Source organism: Homo sapiens, chromosome 4 (assembly GCF_000001405.40).
Source record: "Homo sapiens chromosome 4, GRCh38.p14 Primary Assembly".
Classification (NCBI taxonomy): Eukaryota; Metazoa; Chordata; class Mammalia; order Primates; family Hominidae; genus Homo; species Homo sapiens.
The window spans coordinates 52,370,620-52,379,554 of record NC_000004.12 but is presented as its reverse complement, the minus strand read 5'-3'; the positions used below and the strand labels follow the sequence as shown (position 1 = coordinate 52,379,554).

Here is an 8,935-nt window from a genome sequence, read left to right as displayed (position 1 = left end):
CAAGGCAGGCCTGGTGGTAACAAAATTCCACAGTATTTGCTTGTCTGGAGAGGATTTTATTTATCCTTCACTTATGAAGCTTAGTTTGTCTAGATATGAAATTCTGAGTTGAAAATTCTTTTATCTAAGAATGCTGAATATTGGCCCCCATTGTCCTCTGGCTGTAAAGTTTCTGCTGAAAGGTCTTCTGTTAGTCTGATGGGCTTCCCTTTGTAGGTAAAGCATAGTGACCTGGCCTTTCTCTCTGGCTGCCCTTAATATTTTTTCCTTCATTTCAACCTTGGAGAATCTGATGATTATGTGTCTTGAAGTTGACCTTCTCATGAAGTATCTTAGTCGTGTTCTCTGTATTTCCCGAATTTGAATTTTGGCCTCTCTTGCTAGGTTTAGGAAGTTCTCTTGGATAATATCCAGAAGTGTGTTTTCCAGCTTGTTTCTGTTCTCCCCATCTCTTTCAGGTACTCCAGTCAATTGTAGATTTGGTTTTTTTTATAAAGTCCCATATTTCTTGGAGGCTTTTTTCATTCCTTTTCATTCTCTTTTCTCTGGTCTTGTCTGCATGCCTTATTTCAGCAAGATGGTGTTCAAACTCTGATATCCTTTCTTCTGCTCGGTTGATACTTGCGTATGCTTCACGAAGTTCTTGTGCCATGTTTTTCAGCTCCATCAGGTCGTTTATGTTCCTCTCTTAACTGATTATTCTGGTTAGCAATTCCTCTTTTTATCAAGGTTCTTAGCTGCTTTGCATTGGGTTAGAACGTGCTCCTTTATCTCAGCGTAGTTTTTTATTACCCATCTTCTGAAGCCTACTTCTGTCAATTTGTCCATCTCATCCTCTGTCCAGTTCTGTGCCCTTGCTGGAGAGACATTGCAATCATTTGGAGGAGAAGAGGCACTCTTGCCTTTTGGGTTTTCAGCGTTTTTTTTGTTGATTCTTTTGCATCTTCATGAGTTTGTCTAGTTTTGATCTTTGAGGCTGCTGATCCTTGGATGGGGTTTTTATGGGTTTTTTTTTTTTGTTATTGTTGTTGATGCTGCTGTTGTTGCTTTCTGTTTGTTTCTTTTTCTTTCAATGGTCAGGTCCCTCTTCTGTACGGCTGCTGTTGTTTGCTGGGGGTTCACTTCAGGCCCTATTGGTCTGGTTCACTTCCACACCTAGAGATGTCACTCAAGAGGCTGGAGAACAGCAAAGATGCATGTCTGCTCCTTCTGCTGGCATCTCTGACCTTGAAGGGCACTGACCTGATGCCAATAGGATCGCTCCTGTATAGGGTGTCTGACATCCCTTTTTTAGAATGTCACCAGTTGGGTTGCATGGGGAACAAGACCCATTTAATGAAGCACTTTGACTATCCCTTGGTGGAAGGGGTGTGCTTCGCTGGGGGGAAACCCATTCATCTGGGCTGCCTGGATCCTTCAGAACTACCAGGAGGAAAGGCTAAGTCTGCTGGTCCACAGAGACTGCAGCCACCCCTTCCGCTAGGGGCTCAGGCCCAGGGAGATCTAGGTTCTGTCCCTGAGTCTTTGGCTGGAGTTATTGGAGTTCCTGCAGGGAACCCCCACCCAGTGAGGAAGGATGAGTCAGGGTCAGGCCTGAAGAAACCTCTGGCCACAGTCTGCCACAGCTGATGTGTTGGGCTGTGGGGGATACATCTTGGGACCAAGCTGTCCAGCCTCCCTGGCTCCAGCAGGAGAAAAGCACAGCCTGGAGCTATAGAGATGGAGGCTGTCCTTCCCCAGCGCAGGAAGGTTAGCGTGTTAGGCTGTTGTGAGTCCCAGTGCTGGCTGCTGCCCCTCCCCCGAGGAGCTCAAAGGGCTTAGACAGCAGGTAGCCACAGCTGTGGTGCTGGTCACTCCTCCGCACCACCACCCCCCGACCGCCGAGCTCCAAACTCCGTAGGCTTAAGCAGATTCCAGCTGAGAGGCTGATGAGAATCTGCGAGGGTCTGAGGTGGGGATGCTAGGCCCTAGTGGTGTGGGTTCCCAAGTGGGATCTTCCGATCCATGAGTTGGGCAGTTCCATGGAAAAATCACTGTTTCCCCAGCCGGGTAGCAGCTCACTCACTGCCTCCCTTGGCTGGCGGGGGTGGGCACTCCCCGGCCCTGGGAGGCTCTTAAGTGGGCCACCACACAACACTGCTCTTCCTTCCTCTCCGTGGATCACTCCAGCCGCCTAGTCAGTTCTGATGAGAGAACCTGGATACCCTGGTTGCCAGTGAAGCACTCACACACTTATTATATTTCTTTTTGATGGAACCTCCGATCAGGGCTGTTTCTAGTCACCCACCCATCCTGGCCCCGCGCCCTCAGGTAGTACTTTATATCAGTTTGAAAACAGACTAATACAGAATAATTTTTCTTTAGGGGCTTTGGAGGAACGTGGTCTGCCAACACACTGGTTTTGGACTTCTCTCCTCCAGAACGTGAGAGAATAATTTTTTGTTGTCACATGCCACCCTGTTGGTAGTACTTTTGTTATGGCAGCCCTAGGAAACTAATACAGAGTCCCTGTAATAGGCACAAGCTCACGTGTCCTGAAGGCTACAGGACTTTTAATTCCACCATTTCAGCCAAGGACCCCAAATAAACATTTCCCATGAGGAAGCCTCCCACGACCACAATTTCCTTCTCTGTGTCCTCTTACTCTCTTCCTTAGGGTCCACGTTTCTTTGTATCAGGGTTGACATTTTAATACACATTAAGGATTCATCAGGAAGTAAGAGATTCCATCCAGGACCACAAGGCCCACCCATCTTTCTTCCCAGAGTCTTCCACTTCTCCTCACCTGGTCAGGTGGGTCCTGAGATGCCCAGGGCTGGATGCCAGACACCCCAGCTGCCCAGGTACTCCTGCCCCGTAGTGAGACCCACATTTTCAATTCACGGTGGGGTGAATTTTCAAAGGGAACCACTTTCTTTCATCTTTATCTATAGGATATTTCCCAAATAACATGTATGTTACTGAGTTCGTGGACATCGTCAAAGACAGCCAGATTCTCTTTAAATATCTGCTGGGCGGCCTTCTTCCATAGAATTCAAGAAAAAAAAAAATGACTGTCTGGCTATCGTCCTCTGTAAATCTTGTTCTAGCAAGTTCTGCATCCACTTAACTTTATGAATTTGGATTCTGTGGTTTGGATTCCATCCCCACTCCTCCACCATCCTTTTCCCAATTTAAACCATTCTAATCTAGAATTTCAGGCAAAGTTGGGGGCTGGGGAAGCTAAATCGATTGTTTTATTTTTGTCTCTTGCTGCCCCCTGCTGGTCAAATTATTGCTTTCTTTTTCTTTTTCTTTTTCTTTTTTCTTTTTCCTGTTTAACTCAGGAGATCAATGGACAAGTTTCTAGGGATGGGTGGGTGAGGGAGAAGCAAGTGTCCTAGATGACAAGACAATGTCAGACAAGTTTCACTACTTGAGGTTCTCGGTTTTTTTTTTAATGAAGAAATGGCAATTGTGATATTTAAAACATGTTTAGCTTATTGGTCTTTTTTTTTATTTTTTAATTTTTAACACTTTTTAAGGGACAGGGTCTTGCCCTGTTGCCCAGGCTGGAATGCAGTTGTGTGATCATAGCTCACTGCAGCCTCCACCTACTGGGCTCAAGCCATCCTCCCACTCAGCCTCCTGAGTACCTGGGACCACAGGCATGCAACACCACGTCCAGCTTAATTGGTCTTTTTAACACACACAAATACAATATACTATAATGGTGCTTCCCCAGATCATTTGATTTCTGAAATTATCAACATGCACTGCTGGTGGTATGGACTAGTGATGGGTCACAATCTTCCTTCAATCTCCTTAGCATGTCAGGGTCTGCGACTGCATCCAGCACTGCACTTAGCACTGAATTTGGGGTGACAGCGAGGCACTTTGCAACCCTCTGATGGGTTTCCTACCATAGAGCTAGGGTGTGGCCTGGACTGGTCCTCAGAGAGCCTCCAGGGATGAGGTGGTGGAGGGAAGATAGAAGGGGGTGGGAGGTGGGGAGGGCCAAGTCTCTGGGGATCAGTCTTCACAATCGCACCCGATTCAAGGTGAAAGCCTGTGTGCCCTTTTCCCCTGGAAGCCATCTGTGTTAAAAAAACATCTTTTGGGGGTAGACAGGCCTGTGAAGTGCCTCTGTTCAGAGCTTCTCCGGGGTGGTGCGTTTTCCAGGGCGGAAGGCCATTAAAAGCCAACCCCTGAACCCAAGAACTTGGCTGCAAGAGCAGAAGGAAGACCACTGAGACCAACTCCACGGAGCAGGCTGCCCAACACGAGAAAGTCAGGGCCTGCTGCTGCTTCCTGGGCTACTGCAGCTACTGGAACAAGGATTTCTGCTCAGGGTTTCAGACCAAGGACCTCACCCTGGAGAGTCAGGGCCTTTTGGGAAAATGCAGTTTCCTACCAGCAAGAGCGAGTCCATCACGCTGTGTATCCCAGGAACCATGCAGCTTCGAGATCTGTTCCTCCCTCCTCCCTTCCCTGTCACATTCTCAGTAGGCACTCCAACGTAATTCAGTTAGCAACAGTATTTGCTTTTCACTGTGAGTCAATTCCAATGAACTTTACCATCTACACAAGTTGATCTAAGATGTAGGACAGTGAATCAGAATCATATTTAAGTTGAAGGAACTGAAATGACAATGTGTGTTGCACTTCCCACCTGTTCATGGATTAAAATTCAAGCCCACATACTCACCTGCTCAGATATCTCTTGTATTCCACCAGCTGCCCATCTTGTCAATATCTCCAATGCTGTGCCTTCCTCCAGATCCGCTTCTATCTCAGGGAGAAGCATCACAGTCCACCCTGATTAAGAGTAACTGAGGCCAGGCATGTTGGCTCACTCCTGCAAGCCTAGCATTTTGGGAGGCTGAGGCGGGCGGATCACTTGAGCTCGGGAGTTTGAGACCAGCCTGGTCAACATAGCGAAACTCCATCTCTACTAAAAATACAAAAAAATTAGTCGGGCATGGTTGTGCATGCCTGTAGTCCCAGCTACTCGGGAGGCTGAGGCAGGAGAATCGCTTGAACCCGGGATGTGGAGGTTGCAGTGAGCCAGGATTGCGCCACTGCACTCCAGCCTTGGTGACAGACCAAGACTGTGTCTCAAAACAAACAAACAAAACAACAAAACAAACAAACATACAGAAAGTAATTGAGAGTAGAGCTCTAGAAACTTTTATTGCAAACATCTACACACAGAATCAATGAACGTGTCTCCCAGAATAAAGAAAGTCCAGTTCATGTGTTGTCAGACTTGAGTGGTGGGTCCCATGTTGTGTGAGGGTGCACTAATCACACCCATTAGGATCACATATGGGTCTGGGATGAGCTAGGGAAATCTAATCCTTCCCTATACTGTAGATAGCCTGAGAAGCACAGGAGGGAGGACCTCCACCTCTTACCTGAACAATTTCCATAGCCTCTGTGTTTGTGGCAACTTGCTTGTTTTCCTTCCACCCTTAGAATGTGAGTTCCAGGAGAGCATGCTTCAAGCTGCCTAGTTTACCACAGAGTGCAACGCTAGAACAATGATGGGCATATAGTAATTCTCAACACTTATTTGTTCATGGTCTCTCTGCCTCTGATCAGCAACTACCAAACCCAGCACATTTTCCAGGCTGCAGCCAGAACAATCTTTCTAAAACTCAAATCTGATCAAGACCCTTCCTTATTTAAAATTATTTAATGACTCCTCAGTTGCCATGGTAACGTCAAAACCCTTGGTCTGCATTTTAGCCACACTGAACACTTAAGTCTTACTAAAGGGCCATACTTGCAGGCCTCCAGGCATCCATGCTGGCTGTTCCCTCTGCCTGGAATTCCCTTCTGCCCCCTCTTGATCAGTGGTAACTCCTTCAGGTCTCAGCTCAGCTGTCGCTCCCATTGAGACATCCCCAGGATGACACTAATTGCAATATGCTGCAATTATTTTTCTGTATTTCCATTTGAAGTTGAGCCTGCACCTACACCATCATATCCACCCCCAAACATGGCAATGGACATGATGGTGTCTTTATAGCAGAGGCAAGAAGGACTCCAGCGGTTCTAATTATAGGGGTCACCCCTCACTGCTCGGCACGTTAAGAGTGGTAACTCCACAGCCAGGAAAACTCAGGTTCAAATTTCCACATTCACTTTGTTTATTTAGCCATCCGGTGCTCGGTTTCCATCTGAAACATGGGGCTCATGATTATATATGGATAAAACTAGGTGGAGTCCTTTGGGTGGCTGGCAAATTGTAAGTGCCTAGTTAATGAATGTTAGTTGTGATTATTAACCATCACTTCTGAGACCCCTGCATTTTGCTTTCTCTACTTATAAGCTCTTGCAACCTCCTCTCTCCCTTTAGGCTTCCACTAGTGTGTTGGCTGTTACTCATCATGTTACTTTAAAAAATGAGCATATCACAAAGAAAAGAGACATAACATTCTTAAAGCAATTACTCTCTTCTACGATTTCCTGAAGCCCAGGTGCTCTACTTTATTTTGGAGCCTGGAGAGGAGACAGTTGTGCTTAAAATTTATCAGACCTCTCCTCTCTTTCGGGCTTTCTTGAAGCCTCCCTTTATCAGGACTGGATAGAAAAATCAGTTTGATGAGGTCATCCTTCTCTGTGCTTACAAGTCTCAAGAGGGCGACTGTATTTAGAAGAACTCCAGGTGGCCACTGCCATGATGATGAGAATAGCAATAATAAAGTTAGCAACCATAAAACCATTTATTGATAGCACTTGTTACTACAGGATCAAAATGATTATTCTTATTTTGCTGCTGGTAGGTGTCAGAAGCTGGCTTTGAAGACAGGTCTGTCTAATCTTCTCTTACACAAAAAAGGTCACAGGATAATCCTTCCTCACCTGGGACTGTATGATTTTTGTGCCAAGCAATACAGTATTGCATATTAGGTCTCTCCTGGTCAACCACCAATTTCTTCCTGTCCCTGAGATCCACAAGTGCTGCTAGGGACAGCCAATACTCACTTCATGGAATTGTGTGTGAGAGAGAGAGAGTATGTGCATGTGTGTGGGAATGTGCATGCAGGCACAAGTGTGTGTTTTTGTATTTCATTGCTATAATTCAAGTCAAGTGTGTGTTTATGTGTTTCATTGCTATAATTCAAGTCAAGTGTGTGTTTATGTGTTTCATTGCTGTAATTCAAGTCTCTGGTTAAGGCTAATCATCCCATCTTTTTTTTCAGTTCAACTTTTCAAAATGAAGCCACACAGTCTGGTTGAATAAACATCATGAAATAGATATTTTAGACTTTTCTAAAAAATGGATTCACTCTGATCTTGAGTTGGGGAGTGGGGGCACGGATAAAGTTGGTTTGCAGTCTGTATCCACCCTGGAACACATGAAAAATTCTCTCTACGTAGAAATTTGCATCATGACATATTAATTGCAAGAATAAAAGTGTTCTTAAGCAAATGGCCAGAAAGAGTACATTCTATAACTGCCTAAATTTCAGCCTGGGAGTGATTTAGTCCAGTGGTTCTCAGACTTGAGCATGCAGCAGAGTCACGTGGAGGGCGATTATGAAAACCCAGATTGCTGCTTGTGGGGTAGTGAACTCTCCCTGGAGTTTCTGATTCAGTAGGTCTGGGGTGGGGCCTGAGATTTGAATTTCTGTTTTTTCGTTTTGTTTGTTTGTTTGAGATGGAGTTTCCTCTTGTTGCCCAAGCTGGAGTGCAATGGCTTGATATCAGCTCGCTGAAACCTCTGCCTCCCAGGTTCAAGCGATTCTTTCACCTCAGCCTCCTGAGTAGCTGGAATTACAGGCACACGCCACCACACCTGCCTAATTTTTGTATTTTTAGTAGAGATGGGGTTTCACCATGCTGGCCAGGCTGGTCTTGAACTCAAGTGATCCACCCACCTCAGCCTCCCAAAGTGCTAGGATTATAACCTTGAGCCACCATGCCGGGCCTAAGATTTGCATTTCTGACAAGCTCCCTGGAAGTGCTGGTCTGGGGAGCACAGTTTGAATACCACTGGTTAGACCACTGGTTCTGAGACTTGGCAGCATATCGGGATCTCCTGGGGAGCTTAAAAGTTAATGATGCCTGGAGTCCACCCCAGTGACTCTGGTTTTATTTGTATGGAGTACGACCTGGGCATTAGTGTTTTTTAAAAGCTCCCCAGTTGATTGTCATATAGCAGACTTTGAAAGCCACTGATACGGGGGAGGGGGTAAACCTATCATGTTAAGAACAATGAGGGCTTTGGAGACCCAGAGCGCAGGGAGTGGTAGAAGGGCCACTTCACGTGATGGGTTTCCTGGATGGGGATAAGCAGATGGGCAGAGCAGTCCTGTGCTCAGTCTCCACGTGCGAGACTAGCTAGCAACAACGTTGCCCAGCCATGGTTCTCAGGCTCCTGGAAGGCTAAAAATATTCCTTTACAGTAGGTATTTGTAATTTTTAGGGTTCTTAGTTATACATAAGAAACTTGCCACTAACTAAGCAGGAAATGATTTTGGTAAAGAATATTGGGAGACTTGAGGCTAGGCTTTCAGGAGGGATGAACAAACCAACTCTAGAATGCTTTGAGAAGGACAATGCCACTGCTTCCCTGCCTAACACTGGAAAAACCACTGCGGCCACTGTCCTACCAATACCGCGGCCCCGCCAGGAACTTGACATTGTGACTCTCTGGCACTTCTGGAAGCCAGATACCTCTAGTGCTGCCCTCACTAGTAAAATAGGAGCTCCAGGGAGCCTCCTTCTAACTGGAAGTGAAACTGTCCCCACAGGGTTAACAAGAATTACATACTGAGCTCTGGGCAGATGTACAGTTATAATTAAGCATTCATCAGGCCACACTCTGGCCCACCTTCTTATAATAGAAAGTCACGTAACTGTAGACACTGATCATTTGCATCCCTTGTTCCTATAGATAGGATCACACATTGGAATCACAAGGCTTTTTCTTTAAACATTGCTT

The 8,935-nt window shown here is 46.0% G+C and overlaps 2 annotated features.

Annotated features, from left to right (window-relative positions):
* Positions 1,309–1,856: an enhancer, noted in NCBI's record as "H3K4me1 hESC enhancer chr4:53243865-53244412 (GRCh37/hg19 assembly coordinates)". NCBI's record gives its function as "activates a minimal SCP1, AML or CMV promoter by ChIP-STARR-seq in naive H9 embryonic stem cells {active_cell/tissue: H9 hESC(naive)}" and the evidence as "EXISTENCE:reporter gene assay evidence [ECO:0000049][PMID:30033119]".
* Positions 1,857–2,405: an enhancer, noted in NCBI's record as "H3K4me1 hESC enhancer chr4:53243316-53243864 (GRCh37/hg19 assembly coordinates)". NCBI's record gives its function as "activates a minimal SCP1, AML or CMV promoter by ChIP-STARR-seq in naive H9 embryonic stem cells {active_cell/tissue: H9 hESC(naive)}" and the evidence as "EXISTENCE:reporter gene assay evidence [ECO:0000049][PMID:30033119]".